Raw genomic sequence first — 25,970 nt, forward strand, 5'->3', positions numbered from 1 at the left:
TTTTAAAAAGCTCTACCTAACACCTTAAACATCATATTACAGTGGAAATCACTACCCTTTAAGAGAGTGGATGTAGTAGGAAAACATTTCCTGAAATATCATCACATGTGCTAAAAGTATATGTTTTTGAAAACAACAAAAACATCCAAATTTTTATTCTATGTATTGAGATATTGAGCCCCTTGATTTCTGTATGCATGATTTGCAGCACTGTTTAATACATGCCTGCAGCTGGATACCAAAAGAAATGTAGTATGGTGACCATGAGTTTCTGTGTTTAATAGCACATTGAGAAAAATGGAAGTCAGATGGCCCATTTCTGCTGTATCACTCTATTAGGTTTCTGTATGGCTTTGGGGAAGGCAGTCAAAGCATTAATGTTTGTTCATGCCTGGCCATTGCAAACACATATTGATGCAAAGTGAACAACAAACACTGGGAAATTTTAGCTTAGATGAGACATGTTTTTCAGAAGTTTGTCTGGATGACTAAGGCAGTGATTTTCAACCAGGATGGTGGGAGGTGGGTGGAGAAGATATTTTAAAATGACACATTTCACCCAGGATTCTGATAATCCCTTTATAAGGCATCCTATCCATCACCTCCACACAAATGACAATCAGGTAAGCCAATTATAGTTGGAAATGGATAATGCATCTCAGGTGAATTGAGCATGGAAAAGGATTGAGAACTACTGATCTAAAACCTCAAAGAGATTTCTTCAAGTAGAAACCAGCCTGGCAAATTTACAAACACACACACACACACACACACACACACACACACACACACTTCAATGCTATTAATATTAAAAGGCAGCTATAGGCAAGACTGAGCTAGGCACAGTGAAGTGTGCAAATGAAGACTTTTTCTATGTACTTTTATTCAACTTTCAGCCAAAATCCTGAGCCCAACATAATACTATTGACCATACAAATAATTATGGAAGATCTATTAGGGGGAGATTATGCTTTAAAATGTCTAATGGTTGATCCTTACCCTCTGGAGGCTCACAGTCTAATTGATGTACTCAGGCAAGTACACAAAGAGAAACAACACAAAGCAAGGTCTGCCATCCTTATCCTCCCACTGCAAATACATAGAAATAATTCCCACTGGAGAAACCCATAATTACCAAAATGAAGATCAAGAATACAAGGAATGCTGATAACTTTGAGAAATCAATCACTAGAGAGCTAGACGTAGGAAGCCAGATTACAGGAATTCCAAGAGTCGGAGTGGGGTGAATAAAAAGAGATAGTGAGCCTAACTAAAGTATTTATTGTGAAAGCTTAAAATAAAGAGAACAAATAAAGATGATCCTAGGAGAGACCTGGAGATTGTTCACAGAAAGAGCAGACGGTGCTACAACGGGAAAGATTAAGGATGGCGCTGGGGAAGTGGGAGTTCCTGAGGATGGAGGTGGATGAGGTGCAAATGGACAAGCACCTCAGTTGGAGGGCTGGCATCCAGACGTTGTCGTCCAACCCCCACTTTTTAGACTTTTCCTATTTTTTTTCTAAGGGAATTACTCTGCCAGCTTTTTAGCTTGGATTAAGTCAATTTGGGTAAACTTTATTTTTTGAAAAAAAGTATTATTTTCAGTTGTCTTTTTTTTTTTTTTTTTTTGAGACGGAGTTTCGCTCTTGTTGCCTAGGCTGGAGTGCAATGGCATGATCTTAGCTCACTGCAACCTCCACCTCCCAGGTTCGAGTGATTCTCCTGCCTCAGCATTCTGAGTAGCTGGGATTACAGGCGCCCACCACCACTCCCAGCTAATTTTTGTATTTCTAGTAGAGATAGGGTTTCACCATGTTGTCCAGGCTGGTCTCAAACTCCTGACCTCAGGTGATCCACCCGCCTCAGCCTTCCAAAGTGCTGAGATTACAGGTGTGAGCCACCAAGCCCAACCTTTTTTCAGTTTTTATTATCCTTTTTTTTTGTCATTTCTTATTTTATATCTTGTCCATTCTCACTTATTCATTGAATGAATTAGAAAGCAGTTGTTCTTTCTGTTATTCAAAAGGAATTTCTTGAAACATTTATTTATTTACATTCTAATTGACAAAATGTCTTGAAAACAGGTCATGCTAGTCTTCCAACTTTTCTTTTTCGAAGTTGTTTTAGCATTGATATAATCTGTAGTGCTGTTTAACTTTTTGAATATACAGAATACAATTATAATCAGTCTTTTCTACTAATTATCATATTTATATCAGTAAATATTCTTGAGTTTTGTCCTGGGATGCAGTTAAGTTACTTAGAAACAGTTTGATCCTTTCTGGATCTTGCTTTTAAGATGTGTTAAGTGGTACTGGACCAATGCTCAGTCCAGAGTTAAATATTCTTCATTACTGAGTCAACACCCTCTGCATACTCTACTCTGTGCTCCGTGAATCATGAGGTTTTCCATTCTGGATGGTGGGAACAGACACTGTTACATGTCCTGCATGAGTACTATTACCTCTAATTCTCTTAGGTGATTCTCCTCTCAGGTAGTTTCTTCAAGTGCATGTGTTATCAGTACTCACTGAATACTTGAGGGGATCCCTACACAGATCTCTGTAGTTATCTCTCTGTGCAGCATTCTCCTCTTTGATACTCTATCCTGCAAAATGTGGGCGCCTTGGACTCCCTGAACTCTCAGCAATGTTTCCTCAATTCAGAAAATCCATTGTCCCTCCCCGCATCATGGCTTGGAAACTGTCTTCCAGCTTCAGCTTGGAAACAACCATAGGGCCCCCCATATTTGTTTTTGTCTCTCTGGATCACTGTCCTTCATTCAGCATCTTGAAAATTTTTTTTATGTATTTTGTCTGGATTTTTTGCTGTTATTGTCTTTGTTGTTTCAAATGGGAGGGTAACCCAATCCCTGTTTTGCCATCTTGGCTGGAAGTGGAAGTCCACAATATTTTGTAAGGATGGTAAATTATTCATTAAACATTTTCTGGAATTTTAGTTAATTGAACAAATATATAGATAGAGTAAAACCAGTTTGGCTGTAGGTTTTTAAAAATCATGTGAGAAGAGTAATTATGTCGTGTCCCTGGAAGTTTCTTATAGCACAAATGAAAATGTCTTCTCTTGTTTACACAGTGGCAGCAAATCATCATGGCCTGGATTCCAGCCCCGCTTTTGAACTTAGATGCACATTTCCCAGACAATAATCTGGAAGATGCAGTATTGGCAAAGCTTCTATGTGATTCTGATGATTGATCTGGCTGAATGAATCAGTACAGTGCCAATCAGGGTTCTCAGCTTTAGCACTGCAGACACTTTAGGATGGATAATTTTTGTTGGGCCAGGGAGGGAATTGTCCTGTACACTGGGGATGTATAGCAGCATCATGGCCTCTACCCACTAGATGCCATCTTTGCTCTCAGTTGTGACAACCAAAAATGTTTCCCAGAAATTGCCAAATGTCTCCTGAGGGGCAATAATGCCTCTAGCTGAGAAGTATAGTTGCAGATTAAATCTAGACCTTGAGCTGCCAGAGAACAGAAACCGTATTTTATTCATGTCTATAACCCCAGCACTCAGGAGAATGCAATAAGTAAGTGGCTGTGGAGTGAACAAATGAATGAGCAACATAAATGAATGAATACCACCCATCCTGTCTTATAGAACAAGTGTTCTCAAACTTCATGATTTTTAAATTGCCAGAAAAAATTGTATGTAGTTATTATGCACAATTTGATATTTTAAAGTATGTATACATTGTAGATTGACTAAATATAACTAACTAACATATGCACTACCTCACACAGTTATTTTTCTGGTGAGAACACCAAACATCTATCCTCTTACAATTTTCAAAAATACAATACATTGTTGTTAACTATAGTCACCATGTCATACAATAGATCTCTTGAATATATTCCTTCTACCTAACTGAAAATGTTGTGTTCTTTGACCATCTCCCCAACCCCCTAACCTCTCTGTTCTTAATGATCAGTAGAGTTTTCGTTAAAACACAGATTCTCAATCCCACTCCCAGAGAGTCATTGAATAGACATGAGGTGGGATACAGTCATCTGCATTTTAACAAACACCACAGTGATTCCTCAACCAAAATCTGAGAAAGCCCTACAGTACTAAGAAGTATTTGAGGCAAAAATTCAGACTACAGTACTAAATCAGACTACAGTACTAAGAAGTATTTGAGGCAAAAATTTACACTTATTATTTTTACACTTATTAGAAAGTCTCTAGCCATTTTTATCCACCCTATTCAGCCAGCATGTGTAATTTCAGGGACAAGTAAACAAATATTTGGCTCTTCTACAGATCCAAGAATTTGCTTTAAAAACATTCAGCTTAACCTGCAACTGTCCATTACAATACCATTTACCGTGGCGATGTTTACTTTGGAATAAAAATCAGCAGAATGTCAGCTTGGACCTCAGTCTGGCATCTTTTAGTAAGAGCTCTGGGTACAGCCATTGACCAGATTCTGTAATCAGAGCAAGTTCTTGAAGTAGGTTCTGTCTCTGCTTCAGTTCCTCTTTTCAGAACTTATTGAATGGAGCCTTTCGATTTCAGAGGCAGATTTCGATCCAGGTGACTGCAGACCCCGGTTTCTATGGTGGGTACTTCATAGCATTGAAGGGTCAGGGAAACCACTTTAAATAGAAGGATTTTAATGATTACCTATTTATTTTTTTAAATTCCAGTAAATTCTGAGTAACTAACAAAGGCTTTATTTCTTAATATATGCCACTGTCAAGGGACTCCTTGACAAAATGTGTAAATATTTACACATTTTGGTTTGGTTTAATAATTTTCCTACAAGACAGAATGCTTTGGTCAGAGGCTTGTTTTTTTTTTTTTTTTTTTTTTTTTTATTTATTCCTGTAAAGTTCTTTTTGGAAAAGTTTCCATCTCATTTGTGTAGGGAATAAGAATTATTTGCCCACACATCCAGAAATCTTTTGGAGAAGAAAGGGCGTATTGAGCACTTCACAGACTCACTGGTCACAGAATATTCTAAAAGTAACAGATCAAGGATTCACAGAGTTAGATGCCATCTGGGAACTATTACCCTAGCAATGAAAGGGACCTATAGAAGTAAGTAATGCTGATTTGCTCTAATAGTGACGTCATCTGTATTAAGAAAAGATGTGTTCATGATATGTATATGGTTTGGAGCTATCACTTTGCACAATTGTAAGAAGCACCATCCATGTGGTTGGCAGCCGTATTCTGTCTCTCTCAGGGCAGTCTAGCTTAGAAATGTGCCTCCCCGGAGGCTGCAGTGAGCTGAGATCGTGCCACTGCACTCCAGCCTGGGCAACAGAGTGGGACTCTGTCTCAAAAAAAAAAGAAAGAAAAAGAAAAAAAAGAAAAAAGAAAGGTTTGTGCCTCCCTCTGGAGTGGAGAGTAGCCACTGAATATTTTGCTGGCTACAATCTGGGGCCTCTCCAGGGGTGATATTCAAAATACCTAACAATAGTTAATAATAAGTATGATAATATAAATTAATACATAAATCAAATATTTCAACAATTTTTTTCTGTTCTCGAAATCAACTAAACAATAGAGCATACAATGGATTACCAAGCAATATAAATGGTGCAAAATATTCATCAGCATATCATGATATTTTTGAAAAGATGTGATGAATTTTAAATATTGCAGGTATGATCTTTTGTTTGATCTAACTGTCACAGATGAAATAATGCCTCCAAGTCACAGTTTGGTGAAGGGATTGCATCAGACTCTCCCACAACTTCCCTACCAAACTGATCATCATTTGGTCCCTGGCTTCTGACTCTCATTACAGCCAGTGTCAGTGGGCATGTTGCCTGCTCATCACAGCCAGCTACACACCTGATGCCAGTGCTTTCCACATGATATGCACTCAGAGGGTCTGTATCCCAGACCCTGCCAATAATGGCATCCACTGCCCATATCACCAATCCCTCTGACTGGGCTGTCACACGGCAATGCTGGCTGTCGCTGGAGCAGTAGGCAAGACCTACACACCCCTTCTTGCTGCTGTTACCTTGATCCACTCGGTGCCTGCCAGGGGCTGCTCCCAGGCCCAGTTACCTGACTCTGCAGTTGGGCAGCATCATCAAGTGGCTTGTAGGTTCAGTAACTAAGAAATTGCACTTCCTGATGGAGGTGCTTAACCCTCTCAAACCCTCTATTGATCAAATAGCAATTACATTAAGGATTATCTTGCCCATAAAAGACTGCCTGAGACCTTAATATATTCAATATCTTTATTATTACCTAGGTCACAATGTAACAGGAGGCCCATTTATTAAAGGACAGAGTGATACTCTAATACCATCAGCTTGAATTAATTAGTTGACATTAGAAATTATGTTATTAAGAATATTTCTGCTATCGCTATATTATTTACAACTGGCACAGAATTGATTTAAGAGTTTAGCAACTTGTCCAGGGACTTTCCGAAATATTTGGTTTTCAGCTTTCCAAAAGCTTACTGGCTGCCTTGAGTTCCCTGAGGTAATATATGGATTCCATTCTCATAGCCCAGCCTGAGTAAGATGGAAAGGTAGTTTAGTCATTAGTTCATAAGACCCAAAGCAAACCTACTAAAATGGGAAGACTCTACATATATTTGTTTCTATTTTTGAAAGGAGCCTTTTAAAATCTTTCCTTTTGAATGAGATGGAGTATAAGCACAGATTATTAAGTGATAACTAATGAATATTCAAAGAACAGAGTTACTTTATTGTTATTGATTAACTGATACATGCAAGAAAATAATATGATTTCTCTAGGGACAGTGACCATATCTTCTTTTTTTTTTCCTGTGATAAATAATCTTTTTTTATTATTATTATACTTTAAGTTTTAGGGTACATGTGCACAATGTGCAGTTAGTTACATGTATACCTGTGCCATGCTGGTGCGCTGCACCCACTAACTCGGCATCTAGCATTAGGTATATCTCCCAATGCTATCCCGCCCCTCTCCCCCGACCCCACAACAGTTCCCAGAGTGTGATGTTCCCCTTCCTGTGTCCATGTGTTCTCATTGTTCAATTCCCACCTATGAGTGAGAATATGCGGTGTTGGGTTTTTTGTTCTTGCGATAGTTTACTGAGAATGATGATTTCCAGTTTCATCCATGTCCCTACAAAGGACATGAACTCATCATTTTTTATGGCTGCATAGTATTCCATGGTGTATATATGCCACATTTTCTTAATCCATTCTATCATTGTTGGACATCTGGGTTGGTTCCAAGTCTTTGCTATTGTGAATAATGCCGCAATAAACATATGTGTGCATGTGTCTTTAGAGCAGCATGATTTATAATCCTTTGGGTATATACCCAGTAATGGGATGGCTGGGTCAAATGGTATTTCTAGCTCTAGACCCCGGAAAATCGCCACACTGACTTCCACAATGGTTGAATTAGTTTACAGTCCCACCAACAGTATAAAAGTGTTCCTATTTCTTCATATCCTCTCCAGCACCTGTTGTTTCCTGACTTTTTAATGATTGCCATTCTAACTGGTTTGAGATGGTATCCCATTGTGGTTTTGATTTGCATTTCTCTGATGGCCAGTGATGGTGAGCATTTTTTCATGTGTTTTTTGGCTGCATAAATGTCTTCTTTTGAGAAGTGTCTGTTCATGTCCTTTGTCCACTTTTTGATGGGGTTGTTTGTTTTTTTCTTGTAAATTTGTTTGAGTTCATTGTAGATTCTGGATATTAGCCCTTTGTCAGATGAGTAGGTTGCAAAAATGTTCTCCCATTTTGTAGGTTGCCTGTTCACTCTGATGGTAGTTTCTTTTGCTGTGCAGAAGCTCTTTAGTTTAATTAGATCCCATTTGTCAATTTTGGCTTTTGTTGCCATTGCTTTTGGTGTTTTAGACATGAAGTCCTTGCCCATGCCTATGTCCTGAATGGTATTGCCTAGGTTTTCTTCTAGGGTTTCTATGGTATTAGGTCTAACATTTAAGTCTTTAATCCATCTTGAATTAATTTTTGTATAAGGTGTAAGGAAGGGATCCAGTTTCAGCTTTCTACATATGGCTAGCCAGTTTTCCCAGCACCATTTATTAAAGAGGGAATCCTTTCCCCATTGCTTATTTTTCTCAGGTTTGTCAAAGATCAGATAGTTGTAGATATTCAGCGTTATTTCTGAGGGCTCTGTTCTGTTCCATTGATCTATATCTCTGTTTTGGTACCAGTACCATGCTGTTTTAGTTACTGTAGCCTTGTAGTATAGTTTGAAGTCAGGTAGCATGATGCCTCCAGCTTTGTTCTTTTGGCTCAGGATTGACTTGGCAATGAGGGCTCTTTTTTGGTTCCATATGAACTTTCAAGTAGTTTTTTCCAATTCTGTGAAGAAAGTCATTGGTAGCTTGATGGGGATGGCATTGAATCTGTAAATTACCTTGGGCAGTATGGCCATTTTCACGATATTGATTCTTCCTACCCATGAGCATGGAATGTTCTTCCATTTGTTTGTATCCTCTTTTATTTCCTTGAGCAGTGGTTTGTAGTTCTCCTTGAAGAGGTCCTTCCCATCCCTTGTAAGTTGGATTCCTAGGTATCTTATTTTCTTTGAAGCAATTGTGAATGGGAGTTCACTCATGATTTGGCTCTCTGTTTGTCTGTTTTTGGAGTATAAGAATGCTTGTGATTTTTGTACATTGATTTTGTATCCTGAGACTTTGCTGAAGTTGCTTATCAGCTTAAGGAGATTTTGGGCTGAGACAATGGGGTTTTCTAGATATACAATCATGTCATCTGCAAACAGGGACAATTTGACTTCCTCTTTTCCTAATTGAATACCCTTTATTTCCTTCTCCTGCCTGATTGCCCTGGCCAGAACTTCCAACACTATGTTGAATAGGAGTTGTGAGAGAGGGCATCCCTGTCTTGTGCCAGTTTTCAAAGGGAATGCTTCCAGCTTTTGTCCATTCAGTATGATATTGGCTGTGGGTTTGTCATAGATAGCTCTTATTATTTTGAGATACATCCCATCAATACCTAATTTATTGAGAATTTTTAGCATGAAGGGTTGTTGAATTTTGTCAAAGGCCTTTTCTGCATCTGTTGAGATAATCATGTGGTTTTTGTCTTTGGCTCTGTTTATATGCTGGATTACATTTATTGATTTGCGTATATTGAACCAGCCTTGCATCCCAGGGATGAAGCCCACTTGATCATGGTGGATAAGCTTTTCGATGTGCTGCTGGATTTGGTTTGCCAGTATTTTATTGAGGATTTTTGCATCAATGTTCATCAAAGATATTGGTCTAAAATTCTCTTTTTTGGTTGTGTCTCTGCCTGCCTTTGGTATCAGGATGATGCTGGCCTCATCAAATGAGTTAAGGAGGATTCCCTCTTTTTCTATTGATTGGAATAGTTTCAGAAGGAATGGTACCAGTTCCTCCATGTACCTCTGGTAGAATTCGGCTGTGAATCCATCTGGTCCTGGACTGTTTCTGGTTGGTAAGCTATTGATTATTGCCACACTTTCAGCTCCTGTTATTGGTCTATTCAGAGATTCAAGTTCTCCTGGTTTAGTCTTGGGAGAGTGTATGTGTTGAGGAATTTATCCATTTCTTCTAGATTTTCTAGTTTATTTGCGTAGAGGTGTTTGTAGTATTCTCTGATGGTAGTTTGTATTTCTGTGGGATCAGTGGTGATATCCCTTTGTCATTTTTTATTGCGTCTATTTGATTCTTCTCTTTTTTTTTCTTTATAAGTCTTGCTAGCGGTCTATCAATTTTGTTGATCCTTTCAAAAAACCAGCTCCTGGATTCGTTAATTTTTTGAAGGGTTTTTTTTTTTGTCTCTATTTCCTTCAGTTCTGCTCTGATCTTAGTTATATCTTGCCTTCTGCTAGCTTTTGAATGTGTTTGCTCTTGCTTCTCTAGTTCTTTTAATTGTGATGTTAGAGGGCAATTTTGGATCTTTCCTCCTTTCTCTTGTGGGCATTTAGTGCTGTAAATTTCCCTCTACACACTGTTTTGAATGTGTCCAAGAGATTCTGGTATGTTGTGTCTTTGTTCTCGTTGGTTTCAAAGAACATCTTTATTTCTGCCTTCATTTCGTTATGTACCCAGTAGTCATTCAGGAGCAGGTTGTTCAGTTTCCATGCAGTTGAGTGGTTTTGAGTGAGATTCTTAATCCTGAGTTCTAGTTTGATTGCACTGTGATCTGAGAGATAGTTTTAATTTCTGTTCTTTTACATTTCCTGAGGAGAGGTTTACTTCCAAGTATGTGGTCAATTTTGGAATAGGTGTGGTGTGGTGCTGAAAAGAATGTATCTTCTGTTGATTTGGGGTGGAGAGTTCTGTAGATGTCTATTAGGTCTGCTTGGTGCAGAGCTGAGTTCAATTCCTGGGTATCCTTGTTGACTTTCTGTCTCGTTGATCTGTCTAATGTTGACAGTGGGGTGTTAAAGTCTCCCATTATTAGTGTGTGGGAGTCTAAGTCTCTTTGTAGGTCACTCAGGACTTGCTTTATGAATCTGGGTGCTCCTGTATTGGGTGCATATATATTTAGGATAGTTAGCTCTTCTTGTTGAATTGATCCCTTTACCATTATGTAATGGCCTTCTTTGTCTTTTGATCTTTGTTGGTTTAAAGTCTGTTTTATCAGAGACTAGGATTGCAACCCCTGCCTTTTTTTGTTTTCCATTTGCTTGGTAGATCTTCCTCCATCCTTTTATTTTGAGCCTATGTGTGTCTCTGCCCGTGAGATGGGTTTCCTGAATACAGCACACTGATGGGTCTTGACTCTTTATCCAATTTGCCAGTCTGTGTCTTTTAATTGGAGCATTTAGTCCATTTACATTTAAAGTTAATATTATTATGTGTGAATTTGATCCTGTCATTATGATGTTAGCTGGTTATTTTGCTCGTTAGTTGATGCAGTTTCTTCCTAGTCTCAGTGGTCTTTACATTTTGGCATGATTTTGCAGCAGCTGGTACTGGTTTTTCCCTTCCATGTTTAGTGCTTCCTTCAGGAGCTCCTTTAGGGCAGGCCTGGTGGTGACAAAATCTCTCAGCATTTGCTTGTCTGTAAAGTATTTTATTTCTCCTTCACTTATGAAGCTTAGTTTGGCTGGATATGAAATTCTGGGTTGAAAATTCTTTTCTTTAAGAATGTTGAATATTGGCCCCCACTCTCTTCTGGCATGTAGAATTTCTGCCGAGAGATCTGCTGTTAGTCTGATGGGCTTCCCTTTGAGGGTAACCCAACCTTTGTCTCTGGCTGCCTTTAACATTTTTTCCTTCATTTCAACTTTGGTGAATCTGACAATTAGGTGTCTTGGAGTTGCTCTTCTCGAGGAGTATCTTTGTGGCATTCTCTATATTTCCTGAATCTGAATGTTGGCCTGCCTTGCTAGATTGGGGAAGTTCTCCTGCATAATATCCTGCAGAGTGTTTTCCAACTTGGTTCCATTCTCCCTGTCACTTTCAGGTACACCAATCAGACGTAGATTTGGTCTTTTCACACAGTCCCATATTTCTTGGAGGCTTTGCTCGTTTCTTTTTATTCTTTTTCCTCTAAACTTCCCTTCTTGCTTCATTTCATTCATTTCATCTTCCATCACTGATACCCTTTCTTCCAGTTGATCGCATCAGCTCCTGAGGCTTCTGCATTCTTCATGTAGTTCTCGAGCCTTGGTTTTCAGCTCCATCAGCTCCTTTAAGCACTTCTCTGTATTGGTTATTCTAGTTATACCTTCTTCTAAATTTTTTTCAAAGTTTTCAACTTCTTTGCCTTTGGTTTGAATGTCCTCCCATAGCTCGGAGTAATTTGATCGTCTGAAGCCTTCTTCTCTCAGCTCGTCAAAGTCATTCTATGTACAGCTTTGTTCCGTTGCTGGTGAGGAACTTCGTTCCTTTGGAGGAGGAGAGGCGCTCTGCTTTTTAGAGTTTCCAGTTTCTCTGCTCTGTTTTTTTCCCCATCTTTGTGGTTTTATCTACTTTTGGTCTTTGATGATGGTGATGTACAGATGGATTTTTGGTGTGGATGTCCTTTCTGTTTGTTAGTTTTCCTTCTAACAGACAGGACCCTCAGCTGCAGGTTTGTTGGAGTACCCGGCCGTGTGAGGTGTCAATCTGTCCCTGCTGGGGGGTGCCTCCCAGTTAGGCTGCTCGGGGGTCAGGGGTCGGGGACCCACTTGAGGAGGCAGTCTGCCCGTTCTCAGATCTCCAGCTGCGTGCTGGGAGAACCACTGCTCTCTTCAAAGCTGTCAGACAGGGACATTTAAGTCTGCAGAGGTTACTGCTGTCTTTTTGTTTGTCTGTGCCCTGCCCCCAGAGGTGGAGCCTACAGAGGCAGGCAGGCCTCCTTGAGCTGTGGTGGGCTCCACCCTTGGAGCTTCCTGGCTGCTTTGTTTACCTAAGCAAGCCTGGGCAATGTCGGGCGCCCCTCCCCCAGCCTCGTTGCCGCCTTGCAGTTTGATCTGACTGCTGTGCTAGCAATCAGTGAGACTCCGTGGGCATAGGACCCTCCAAGCCAGGTGCCGGATATAATTTCCTGGTGCACCATTTTTTAAGCCCGTCGGAAAAGCGCAGTATTAGGGTGGGAGTGACCCGATTTTCCAGGTGCCGTCTGTCACCACTTTCTTTGACTAGGAAAGGGAACTCCCTGACCCCTTGCACTTCCGGAGTGAGGCAATGCCTTGCCGTGCTTCGGCTCACGCACGGTGCGTGCACCCACTGACCTGCGCCCACTGTCTGGCACTCCCTAGTGAGATGAACCCGGTACCTCAGATGGAAATGCAGAAATCCCATATCTTCTTATTTATTCTTCTTCCAGCACATATGTAAGACTCAGTACACTGAATATGTAAACCAAATGTTTAAATGAGGAAATCAGTGAGTGAATGGATAAATGAAAGCCCCTCCTTAAGCTAGAAGTAGGGGATTGAGGGTTAGGGGAAAGTGCTCTAAAAGTGGGAATAGTATGGGTTTTGGAGCCAAGCAGATCTTGGCCAGAATCCCAGGTTTCTCTGGCACTTTCCTATCATATAGCCTTGTGTGTATCACTTAACTTCTATTTGCCTTGGTTCCAAAACCTAGAAAGTGAAGGTTGTGGGGTGGAAGTAATATTGTAATACTTACATTGCAGAGTTGTCATATAAATGTTAATAAGGCAGATAAAGCTTCAGGCACATAATGAGTGATACAAATGTGGAAACTTTATCACATTACTGGCCACTCATTATTCACTAAAAATATTAATCTTAAAGCATAATTGAACTTATCTTAGTCTATAAAGGACAAATGTTCTCAATATACCCTGAGCCAATGGTCAAAAAATTATATTTTGCATAATTATTGAATTGCTCATGAAATATCTTCAAGAAAATTAAAGCTTTCTGCAAGACAACTGAGAAAACATCAATCATTGCTTCTTTGCATTAATGAATAACTCTGTAACAGCTCAGAGGAATCACATAATCAAGTCAATATGCACCTTTACTTTGTAAATGCTCAGATAAGCCATGGGAAACTTCAATCAGGTCTCCTCCTTTCCAGAAGAAACAGTAGAACAGCACAATATGACATACAAAGCTTCATTTCTCAAAGGTTCCAATTTGGATGTTTCTAAAAAGATGCTGGCTATTTTTTCTTTAGCAATTGCTTTATACAGGACTAGACATTCAAGATGTGTCAGCAGAAGAAATGGACACACCTTGGAGAAAGAAGTGGAACTGATGAGACCTCAAGTCTAATGATCAAGCTTGGTCAGCATGGGCTTGACTTCTGCTCTGTCCTTTATTTCCTGATCAGCCTTCAACAATGAGGACCAACTGTTGCCCGTGACTTGGTTCAGTTCTTGACATTTTGCTGTCCAGTCTTGGAGATACAGCTCATATCTCCTTCATGGGGAGGCTAATCCTACTAGAGCGTGCCAGGTGACCAAGTAGGAAAACTAGGGATCATCTCATGTCCATGTAGTTTGCTGCCTTTAGTTGGTTAAATTTCAGTGCATAGAATAGAAAACATTAAAGCTAGAGGGGATCTTAACTAGCCCAACACCCACCTTGTACAGAAAAGAAATTGAGGCCAGGTGTGGTGGCTTACGCCTGTAATCCCAGCAGTTTGCGAGGCTGAGGTGGGCAGATCACCTGAGGTCAGGAGTTCAAGACCAGCCTGGACAACATGGTGAAACCCTGTCTCTACTAAAATTACAAAAATTAACCGGGCATGGTGGTAGGCACCTATAATCCCAGCTACTCGAGAGGCAGGGGCAGGAGAATCGCTTGAACCCAAAAGGCAGAGGTTGCAGTGAACTAAGATCATGCCATTGCACTCCAGCCTGGGCAACAAGAGTGGAACTCCATCTCAAAAAAAAAAAAAAAAAGAAAGAAAAGAAAAAAGAAATTGAGTCTTCTAAAGAGTGGTAACTACTTATGGAGGATTGCATCAGTGATTAGAAGAACAGTCAATGCCCTTTCCATATGGATAGATGCCCAATCTTCTGTAGATTACTATAGCTTAAAGGGAACTGAAAAAGAGAAAATGGGTATCATTGTCTAACTCATTACCACCAAAATTCAAGCTACATAAGAGGTTAGTAATAGTAATGGCATCTTTTATACAAAGGACAGCATAACAAGATATAATACATGTACGTATATGTGTATTAATTTATAATAAGTTATATATATCTCCTTGCTTCTAAGAAAGAATTAACTCTTTCACATTAACTTTTAACAGTAAAACACATATATGATAGAATAGTTAAAAATAAAGATTAATAAGTGAGACTAGTAGCATATCAACTAAGGAACACAGAAGATAATTAAGTCAGAAAATTGGCAAAAGATAATTAGAATGAGCATTAAATTGAACTCTGAGATTCTTAGCAGCCAATGCAAAAAGGAAAGATAATGGGTTAAAAAGTCATCTGCTATCTGTTTAAAGGAACCACTCCAGTTCTTCCAGTGAAACAGTTTCCTGGTAAGTAATTACAAGAGAACTTTATTGCATGGTTTTTCTTCAAAGGATATCGAATAATGCAACAGACAATGCCTTTGATACCATCATATAGAAGATGCAAAAATGCCCTTCATGTGCCAAATTAGAATATTCACTTGAATAGAAGTACAATATTAAATTCTGTGAAGACTTTTTTGAATTATATGTGTAGGTTGGTATAAGGGAGTTGTCACAGAGGAAGCAAAAATGGAGAGGAAAATGATGTAGCCAGGAGGTAATATTTTAGACCCCAGTTGCTTCTTTCGAAGCAAATGGGCTGAATGTGAACAGTTGCACAACTAAGTGTGGAAGTGCAAGTCTCCCTCAGAAGCCTCTAGTCAGTTGATAGTGATGAGAACTGAGCCCTCATTTACAACTCTGTAACCTCACAGTGCTGGCTACCTTGAGTAGTCACAGGCATTTTGAATGCTACTCTTCTTGACATGTTTTCAAATCAAGAAACTAGGAATACAGCACAGTTAAAAAGCATTTGTTTTAAGAAGTAGCGGAAGTTGCAGTATCATAGCCTACCAAAACAGGCAACTTTTTACTGGTCTCAAGGTATGTGGTTAAAAATTACCACTGTCAAGTCTGAGGAACTGCAGTGTGGGGTGTTGTCTGGCAGAGTAATCAGTGAGTTGAGCTGCCTGGGAGGGGCAGAAGGGAGAGGGCAGGTCTAGGGAAGCCTCTTCAAGCTTGTACCAGGGCTGATTCACTGGCCCATTCTTGTGGGGCTTGAGCAAGAATACAAATAGAAGCCCACATTCTGTTTGTGCAACTATTTTAAAATTATAAATCAAGCTAACCAACGATAGATAAAATACCTCCTATCCTTCTACTTGCATAAATGTACCTGGACTAGAAGGCCAGGTTCAAATGTAAAACCTCAAATTCTGTGACTCACACAGTCAGCTCCTTCTCTTCTCACCTTTGGCTTTAGCCCTGTTGCAAAGGGCCTCATGCACATGTGTGTGAACATCCTAGCCTACATATCCAAGAAATTTTGCTACCCTCTCTCCAGACAGCTAGAAAGCTACCCCTTAGGCCTGCACATCCCTGGGGATGCACAGAGCAGAGCAGAGTTCACCCTAGAGAAGAAGGACCCAGGTAGCAGGACTGCAGAGAGCCTAAAAGCAAGCTCAGGACATCTGGGCAAGGAATTCTGGGATCCCAGGTATTTAGAGACAGCGAATGGGCTCCACATGGACACACATATCTCTTTGGCTGGTAGACCCCTCATCTTATGAACTTTGTGCAGCCAGAGGCGGGTCATAGGAAAGCCCTCTAGCCTTGGTCTGAAGGTGGTGGTGAGGAACTAAATACTGGTTGTAAGCACAATCTAAGTGCAAGATCTGCCCATCAACATTCCCCTCCTCAGCTCCATTGTGCATCAGGGTTGATTCAGCCAATCTGGCTCTCTGATAAGGACCTTGTTGTCATCTTTCATTACTCTATACAAGTCCTTCCTAAAGCTGCACCACAGGACTTCGAGTTTATTCACTGACGGAAGAGAATCTAGCGTCCTCCCCTGGCAGAACTCCCCCCAAAATCCAGAACGCTCCCCCTGCTTTGCCTTCTCACCCACAGCAGCTCCTCTGGCTCCATGTTTCAGGCCCGATGTTTGCCCAGGCTCCTCCATCCCACCTGTGTAGCCTGCCACCCGCCATTCAGGACAGCCCTTGGCTCTGTCCAGGGTGCTGCTCACAGGGTCTGGTTACTCTGGATGTTGTAGCAGTCTTCACTACAAGTCAGTCCCTTGGGTCTGCCTCATTCAGGCCCTTCTTCTTAATAACACCTTAAATATTTCTTTATCTTGGGATTTTACAATGACAAAAAAATGAGTGAGTTAAGGTTACAGGCTTTCAACTAAACTTGAGTTTGAAACCTGGGTCTTCCACTTACTAGCTTTGTGAACTGCAGCAAGTTACTCAAACTTCCTAAGCTTCCATTTCACCATCTAAAAAATGAACAATACTCACTCTGTAGATTTGCTATAGGAATTAGATAAACTGATGTATGTAAAATACTTAGTTCAGTACCTGACACATCAGAAATGTTTCATAAATGTTGAGGCCCTTCCTTCAAAACTATTTTTAAGGAGGTCATTTCCTCCCAAATCTATAGATCCTCCTTCTAAGTCTAGGTCTTCAGTTTAGCATTCAGGGCCCTTTGGCAGTTGCCTCTGTCCTCATCTCTTGTCTGTCCCTGAGATGACTTTCTTGTTTCTGCCAAGTAATTTTCATACATCCCTGCAAGTGACTCACACTTTCTGTCCTCCATGGCTCTGCTCCTGTTATTCCAAATGCAGTGTGTTCAGCCCCTGAACTGTCTTGCCATTGGACCTCCTTTCTCCAATTCCAGGTTTCAGTCTATCTCAAGCCCTACCTCAGTACTCACATCTTCCAAAGAGCCAATGGCTGTCTTCTCTTTGCATTTTCCTTTCCACAGGTGATAGAGTATGTTTCTGACAATCGCTGCAGCTGACCTCTCTGATCCCATACTCTATAGCAATGTGACCTTGCCAAGAAATGAGGTCTATTTCTTCTCCCTTGAACCTAGATGGACTTTGATTGGTTTGGCCAATAGAATAGTGGTTAGATGTGTCTTCCAAGATTTCTGAGCCCAGGCTTTAGGACTGTCAGCTTCCATGATATACCTTAGAATGCTTACTCTGTTAGGCCAATTGTTTTGTTAGAAACCCAACCACCCTGAGACTTCCACGCAATAACGAAGTTTACACTAGCCATGCAGAAAGCCCATTTGGAGAGAGAAGGATGCCTGCCAACCCCCAGCTGTGTTAGCCATCTGTGGCAGCCAGCCTCCAACATGGTTTCAGTGATCCCCATCTCCTGGTATTCATATTCTTGTCTAGTCTCCTCCCATCTAGTACCAGGATTGGTCTGTGTGACCAATAACATATGGCTGAAGTACTTGTGGGTATATCACTTCCAAGGTTAAGGTGTAAAATACTGCTCTGTCTTTCTCACTCCTCACTTGCTCTGGAGAAGTCTAGCTGTCATGGAAGTTAAATAAGTTGTCAAAAGTCACTCATAGCTAGTAACCCAGATTCAAGTTTAGGCTGCAGGATTTCAAAGCCCAGATAATTAACCACTGCACTTTCTACCTCTTTTGGTAAAATTTAGGAGACCCCAAAATATACTTCTCTTATTGCTTAGTAATAATCTCCCAACCCCATTCCACCTCATACACAAGTTAATGCATATTTTGTTTTGAGGTGAAATAGCATTAGCTTTATTATACTTCAAACTTTATTTTAGTGAAGCCAAGTGCCACAGAGTGTATAACTTTAATTATTTATTTTTAATGTTTCCAGTGCTTTGTCCAAGGATTTTGTTTCATTGCTTTGTGTGTATTTGTACATCATTCCTTTTTCCATAGTGTAAAATAAAACAAAGCAAAAAAGTAGAAGAAAGTTTCACTTAGCAATGTAACATCAGGCAGTGCTCCCTCCTGACTTTTATTCCTCCTTATTTCATTTTTCTTTTTCTAATTTAATTTAATTTAATTTTATATTCTGGGATACATGTGCAGCATGTGAAGGTTTGTTATATAGGCAAATGTGTGCCATGTTTGTTTGCTGCACCTATCAACCCATCACCTACATATTAAGCCCCACATGCATTAGCTATTTATCCTAATGCTCTCCCTCCCCCTGCTCTCCCTCCAACAGGCCCCAGTGTGTTGTTCCCCTCCCTGTGTCCATGTGTTCTCATTGTTCAGCTCCCACTTACAAGTGAGAACATGCGATGTTTGTTTTTCTGTTCCTGCATTAGTTTGCTGAGGATAATGGCTTCCAGCTCTATCCATATCCCTGCAAAGGACATTATATCATTACTTTTTATGGCTGCATAGTATTTCATGGTGTATATGTACCACGTTTTCTTTAGTCAGTCTATTATTGATGTGCATTTGGGTTGATTCCATGTCTTTGCTATTGTGAATAGTGCTGCAATGAACATACACGTGTATGTATCTTTATGGTAGAATGATTTATATTCCTTTGGGTATATACCCAGTAATGGGATTGCTGGGTCAAATGGTATTTCTGGTTCTAGGTCTTTGAGGAATCGCCACACTGTCTTCCACAATGGTTGAACTAATTTATATTCCCACCAATAGTGTAAAAGCATTCCTATTTCTCCATAGTTTCACCAGCATCTGTTGTTTCTTGACTTTTTAATGATTGCCATTCTAACTGATGTGAGATGGTATCTCCTCGTGGTTTTGATTTGCATTTCTCTAATAATCAGTGATGTTGAGCTTTTATTCATATTTTTTTTGGCCACATAAATGCCTTCTTTTGAGAAGTTCCTGTTCATGTCCTTTGCCCCCTTTTTAATGGGGTGGGTTGTTTGTTTTTTTCTTGTAAATTTGTTTAAGTTCCTTGTAGATTCTGGCTATTAGACCTCTGTCAGATGGATAGATTGCAAAACTTTTCTTCCATTCTGTAGATTGTCTGTTCACTCTGATGATAGTTTCTTTTACTGTGCAGAAGCTCTTTAGTTTAATTAGATCCCATTTGTCAATTTTTGCTTTTGTGGCAATTGCTTTTTATGTTTTCATCATGGAATCTTTGCCCCTGCCTATATCCTGAATGGTATTGCCTAGATTTTTTTCTAGGGTTATAGTTTTGTGTTTTACATTTAAGTCTTTAATCCACCTTGAGTTAATTTTTGTATAAGGTGTAAGGAAGGGGTCCAGTTTCAATTTTCAGCGTATGGCTAACCAGTTTTCCCAGCACCGTTTATTAAATAGGGAATCCTTTCCCCATTGCTTGTTTTCGTCAGGTTTGTCGAAGATCAGATGGTTTTAGATGTGTAGTCTTATTTCTGAGATCCCTATTCTGTTCCATTTGTCTATGTGTCTGTTTTTCTACCAGTACCGTGCTGTTTTGGTTACTGTAGCCTTGCAGTATAGTTAGAAGTTGGGCAGCATGATGCCTCTAGCTTTGTTCTTTTTGCTTAGGATTGTCTTGGCTATATGAGCTCTTTTTGGGTTTCATATGAATTTTAAAGTAGTTTTTTCTAATTCTGTGAAGAATGTCAATGGTCATTTGATGGGAATAGCATTGAAACTATAAATTACCTTGGGCAGTGTGATCATTTTCATGATATTAATTCTTCCTATCCATGAGCCTCATTTTATTTTTGTATGCCAATATGCATTGAGCGAATTAGCTGCAATCTTAAGCCAAACACATAAATTAATCTATTATGATCCAGAATGCTGCTTTTGGGCTAAGATGTTTGTTTTCTTTCATGCTGCTAATGCCAGTGTTTGGTTGCCTTGAACTTTATTATTTAAATCTATTTTATTTTGCTTCTAGGTATGAGTATAAATAGCGTGGTAATTTGCTGTTTACTTCTCAATTGACTCTCACTTGCAAGGCCTCCTTATTCTGTGGGGGCTAAAAGAAGCTGTGCTGGGGAGAGTTCCTGCCTGCAAAAAGCTTAAATCTAGTGATGGTTAATAGGTTTAGTAGGCTGTCTGAGTGGGACATGGGGAGGGGTAAAAAGGAATTAATTCACTCTCCAAATACTTTTAGAGCATCTATAATGTTGCAGGTGCTAGGTATTTGGAACTCATCAGTGAACAAAACAGACTATGAGTCTGTAGAGCTTACTATAGTGGGAAGAGATAGGCACTAAATCACAAGCTTAATGTATGAGAGTTATCTCCCACTGGAAGGTGACACAAAAAATTAGACCAGGGTGAGGGGGAAGGAAGTGTCTTCTATAAGTCAGGCTATTCACAGGCACTCTTGATTATCAAAATAATCCTATCCTGTAATTGGAAAAATAAGAAAATTCAGGTTTAGAGAAACTAAGACACTTTGATCTTTATAATCCAAAGGCCACCCCATCACTGTACCATGTGATATGGTACAGTGCTAAAATATGCTAAAATAAAGACACAAGGAAAGTTCAATGGAAGCAAATAAGAAAGCAGTGAATTCTGAAGGGGCTTCCCAGAACGCTTCATGGAAGAGGTGACATCCAATTGAGTCTTGAAAGAGGAGAGGGAGGATGATCCAAGAGAGAACTCAGAATACATTTGTATATGTCTACTTCAAAACATTGACTTTTTAGCTCGTATCCACACGATTGTGTAAAGGTCTTACTATCTCAAACATGAAACCTCAAAAAGTTTTCCTACTGAATGGGAATTTATTTACTAAAAGCCAACTGCATTCCACAGCACTACAACATTCAAATAAAATGCCAAGACATAAATAAGCGCTATCATAATAAGGAAGAGAGCAGCCAAGTCAGTATTTTTAAAAGAAAAAAAAAATCCTGAGGCTCTGAGCCAGAAAGACCTCTCCCAAAAAGGAGGTGGCTGAGGCTCAAGCCCCTCCTGAGGGGATGCTCTCAGATGGCCTCTCAACTGCAGTAACTCCTCAGGTCTTAGGGGAGGTCGCAGTATGACTGCCCTTGCTCATTCATTTTCTGTCACAGAGCTCTGTCCGTGGCTTCACCCATTACGGAAATTGGGACTATTTTTTCAGGCCTGTCTTTATTAATTGTAATGCTTTGGCTATCTTCCAAACCATCTTCTTAACTGAGTGCTTACATGCATTTCCTGAAGAATGTGAATTGAATTTTTTCCATTATCTGACTCATGTTCTTCTTAAGTGGATGGCCTTTTTTCTAATGTGTCTAATAATGGCTTTCTTTTTGTATGCTTTTGATTGAAATGTAATGTACATCCAGAGAAGTACAAAAATCATAAGCGTACAGCTTGATGAATGTTCACAAAGTGAACACACTTAGATAACCAGCACCTAAATTAAGAAGCAGAACCTTCCCAGCCCCCCAGAAGCCCTCTTCTTCCTCTTCCAGTCACTGTTTCCCACCCTCAAGAGTAACCCATGATTCGACTTCTAATACAAGTGATTAGTTTCACCTAATTAGAACTTTATATAAATATAAGTGGAATCACATAGTATGTATTATTTTGTGTGTGGCTTATTTTATCCAACATTATGTTTGGATATGCAGTTGCCAATGGCTGCAGTTTGTGTATTCTCAGGTTGTAGAATGTCTCCATGGAGTGAATAGATCACAAGGTATCTATTCATTCTGCTTCTGATGGCATTTGGGTTGTTCCCAGTTTGTGGTTAAACCATTTAGCTGATTGCTTTAAATTGGTGAAAATTATGTGATTGAAAAGAAAAAAATATTATGCTATTAATGGATATTCTATCATTATTAGAGGAATTCTAAATTTAAAAAATTATGCTAGACAGTAAACTCCTTGAAAACAAGGTCTAGATAGAAAAAATAAGTTCAAGAGATCTATTGTATAACATAGGGACTATAGTTAACAATATACCGTATTCTTTTTTTCTTTTCTTTTTTTTTTTTTTTTTGAGACGGAGTCTTGCTTTGTCGCCCAGGCTGGAGTGCAGTGGCGCGATCGCAGCTCACTGCAAGCTCCGCCTCCCGGGTTCACTCCATTCTCCTGCCTCAGCCTAGCCTCCCTGGTAGCTGGGACTACAGGCACCCGCCACCACTCCCGGCTAATTTTTTTGTATTTTAACAATATATTGTATTCTTAAAAAAATTCTAAGAGAGTGGATATGAAGTGTTCTCACCACAAAAGTGATAATTGAGGTAATGCACATATTAATTAGTAAGATTTTGTCATTCCACAATGTATATATACTTCAAAATATCATGTTATACACAATAAATACATACAATTTTTTCTGTTGATTGAATTTTTTTGAGAACTATTAGAGAGTAAGATACATTATGGGAATTGGTTCATGTGATTATGGAGGCTAAGAAGTCCCATAATCTGCTATCTGCAAACTGGAGAATCAGGAAAGCTGGTGATGTAATTCGGTCCAAGCTCAAAGTCCTGAGAACCAAGAGCACCGATGTCCGAGGGCAAGAGAAGATGGATGTCCCAACTCAAACGAAGAGAATGAATTTGCCCTTCCTCTGCCTTTCTGTTGTATTCAGGCCCTCAACAGATTAGGTGATGCCCAACCACATTGGTGAGGGTGATATTCCCTACTCAGTCTACTGATTCACACACTAATCTGTTCCAGAAACACCCTCACAGACACACCCAGAAATAATGTCTTACCAGCTATCTGGGCATCTCTTAGCTCAGTGAAGGTGACACAAAAAATCAATTATCACAAGCCTTTAAAAAGGTGATGAAGTAAAAATGAGATATTAGACTGGGTCATAATCCAGCCTGACTGGTGTACTTGCAAGTAAAGGACATTTTGAGAGCATGAGAGAGAGCTAGAGCCAGAGAGTCAGACATTTGCACACATAGAGGAAAGACCGTGTAAGAACACAGTGAGAAGGTGCACATGTACAAGCTGAGAGGAGAAATCTCAAGAGAAATCAACCTGATGAACCTTTTTCAGCCTCCAGATTGTGAAAAAAAAAAAAATTTTGGGGCTGTTTAGGTGAAAGAAAGGAAGGGGGTGAGAGAGAGAGAGAGAGGAAGGAAGGAAGGAGAGAGGGAGGGAGGGAAGGGAAAGAAAGAAAAAAAGAGAAAAGGAAAGAAAGAAAGAGAGAGAAAGAAAAAGAGAAAGAAAGAAAGAAAGAAAGAAAGAAAGAAAGAAAGAAAGAAAGAAAGAAAGAAAGAAAAAGAAAAGAGGGAGGGAGGGGAGGGGAGGGGCTGGGCGCGGTGGCTCATGCCTATAATCCCAACTCTTTGGGAGGCCGAGGTGGGTGGATCACGAGGTCAAGAGATGGAGACCATCCTGGCTAACATGATGAAACACCCGTTCTACTAAAACTACAAAAAATTAGCTAGGCGTGGTAGTGGGTGCCTATAATCCCGGCTACATAAGAGGCTGAGGCAGGAGAATGGCGTGAACCCGGGAGGCGGAGCTTACAGTGAGCTGAGATCGCGCCACTGCACTCCAGCCTGGGTGACAGAGCGAAAAAAAAAAAAAAGAAAAAAAAAATCAAGGTCTGTATCCAAGGCTACTATGCAGTGGGTTCAGCAAATATTTGATGAATTTATAAATGAACTTTACAGATTTCATTGTTAGGTAAGAAAAATACCTACATAGGAAGCCATCTTACTAATCAATGAGCTTATTGTCAATGGAGATGTTCTAGCAAAGGGTGAATGATGGTTGGCAGGATAATTGAAGAAGAAATTTCTGCAATGGGTATGGGCTGCTAGAAGTAGGTGCCCCCAATTCTAAGGTGCTAGAATTCTATTTAATAAGTTGTAATTACACAAGTAATGTCATTTTGAGTTGAAAGTCAGTAAGAGCAGAGGAAATAAGTTGTTTGTAGGTTATTGGGTTTTGGTGTTTTTATTTTTTGTTTTGTTTTACATTAAACACTTTCCCCAAAGCAGCAAAGAAAACCAGTGTTTCAATGAGTAGCAGCTTTCACTATATGTTGATTTTGCTTAATTTTCTTGTTTATTTTGTAATAAAACTTCTATAGTTACATCACGTGGCTTTAGTGATATTATTGTTTCTACTAAAACAAAACAAAATTCTCAGTAAAACAGTACATCATGACTATGAAGAGCAGAAATTCAGGAGCCAGACTGCCTGGGTTGAATCTTACCTAGTTCCACTACTTATTAATTGTGTAATTTTGAGCAATTTATTTAACTTCTCCATGCTTTGAATTCCTCATTTGCAAAATGTGGCCAATATGGTGCCTACCCCATAAAGGCACTGAGAGGAATAATCACCTAAGGTGGTTGAAATAATGCCCAACACATAGTAAGCATTTGATCAGCATTAGCCTTTGTTATAAATGCTGTCACTCATATTGTAGACATTCGTTACATACTGCCCAAATATTTAATTAATATTCATGAAAATGCTTAGTGTTAAAGAGATGCTATAAATTGTACTTGGTTTCAATGTAGGGTGATCACCTTTTCTTTCATGACTAAACATGTCAGGGAGGTTAAAGAGAAGTACACAAACCCAGCAGGATGACATCACTGGTATGCATGAAAGAGAATGTGCAGGAAAATCCTTGGTGTTATCTCTAGAGGATCTTCATTGTCAGAGCCTTGGAGATCCTGAACTAGATAAAATGAGCCCCAGGTAACAACAAGGTTCCCCCACAAGGGCTGGAGAATGTTGGAATATGCATGGATAATGCAATGTTCCTTCACTCATTTGTTCCTTAGTAATTCATCTAATTCTTGATCTCTCTCTCTCTCTCTCTTTCACTCTCTCTCTTTTTCTCCTATAAAGGATCTACCACCTTAGTACTCTCTACCCAAAGCCTCGTCAAAACCCTCCGGAGCACTTAAAGCTCTAGTATTAAACCTGTTCATAAGCCTCTACTTGTGTTCATTACATTTTATCTGTGTGTTCTGGAACAGAAGTGTCAAAAGGAGGTGATCTGTAACAATTCAGAATTGTACCAAGAAACAGAGTAAAGCCAAGATGAATCTTTAGTTTGGAAGGATGTGATTTTCTTCCTGTTTATCAAATATAGATAAGTTACTTTCTAAGGGAAAGCTACAGGGAGGAATACGTCCAAATCTCCTTGTTTTTGACTGGAATAAAAAATAATGATAAGCAAGCCAGATTAAAAAGTAAAGTATGAATACATATGAAAATTTAAAATGTTTGTAGTTTTCAAAATTAAAAATACAGTCAACACAAACAAAAATTAAACAAGGAAAATGTGCAGCAAATGTAATGAGTAAAAAGTATCTTTATAAAATATTCATAGAAAACATTAACAAAAATGTAGACCTTAATAGTCTGTGAGTAAAATATTCACAGAAAATGTCATTAACTGCTTAGCTAATATAAAAAAAAGTTCAACAACAATAGTAATAAAGAAATGCTAACAAAAACAACAGAAAACATTTCTTTTGATGAAGATTCTTGGATTAATGTGTTGAAATAATAATACTCAGAGGTGTTGAAGATGGACACAGTAACTGTGTAGATGAGAGACTAAATTAGTATATTCTTGGATTTAATTTTTAAAGTATGTGTCATATAGATGTTCATTACTTTATGCAATAATTCCACTTCTGT

The 25,970-nt window shown here is 39.4% G+C and overlaps 1 protein-coding gene across 1 annotated transcript in view, besides 2 other annotated features; it reads left to right on the top strand.

The window, feature by feature from the left end:
- Positions 1-25,970, top strand: part of SV2C (synaptic vesicle glycoprotein 2C) — a 506,476-nt gene that overhangs the window by 177,986 nt on the left and 302,520 nt on the right. The gene's annotated exons all lie outside the window — the stretch shown is intronic.
- Positions 11,628-12,352: an enhancer, noted in NCBI's record as "H3K27ac-H3K4me1 hESC enhancer chr5:75332902-75333626 (GRCh37/hg19 assembly coordinates)". NCBI's record gives its function as "activates a minimal SCP1, AML or CMV promoter by ChIP-STARR-seq in naive H9 embryonic stem cells {active_cell/tissue: H9 hESC(naive)}" and the evidence as "EXISTENCE:reporter gene assay evidence [ECO:0000049][PMID:30033119]".
- Positions 12,353-13,077: an enhancer, noted in NCBI's record as "H3K27ac-H3K4me1 hESC enhancer chr5:75333627-75334351 (GRCh37/hg19 assembly coordinates)". NCBI's record gives its function as "activates a minimal SCP1, AML or CMV promoter by ChIP-STARR-seq in naive H9 embryonic stem cells {active_cell/tissue: H9 hESC(naive)}" and the evidence as "EXISTENCE:reporter gene assay evidence [ECO:0000049][PMID:30033119]".

This window comes from Homo sapiens, chromosome 5, assembly GCF_000001405.40.
Source record: "Homo sapiens chromosome 5, GRCh38.p14 Primary Assembly".
NCBI lineage: Eukaryota > Metazoa > Chordata > Mammalia > Primates > Hominidae > Homo > Homo sapiens.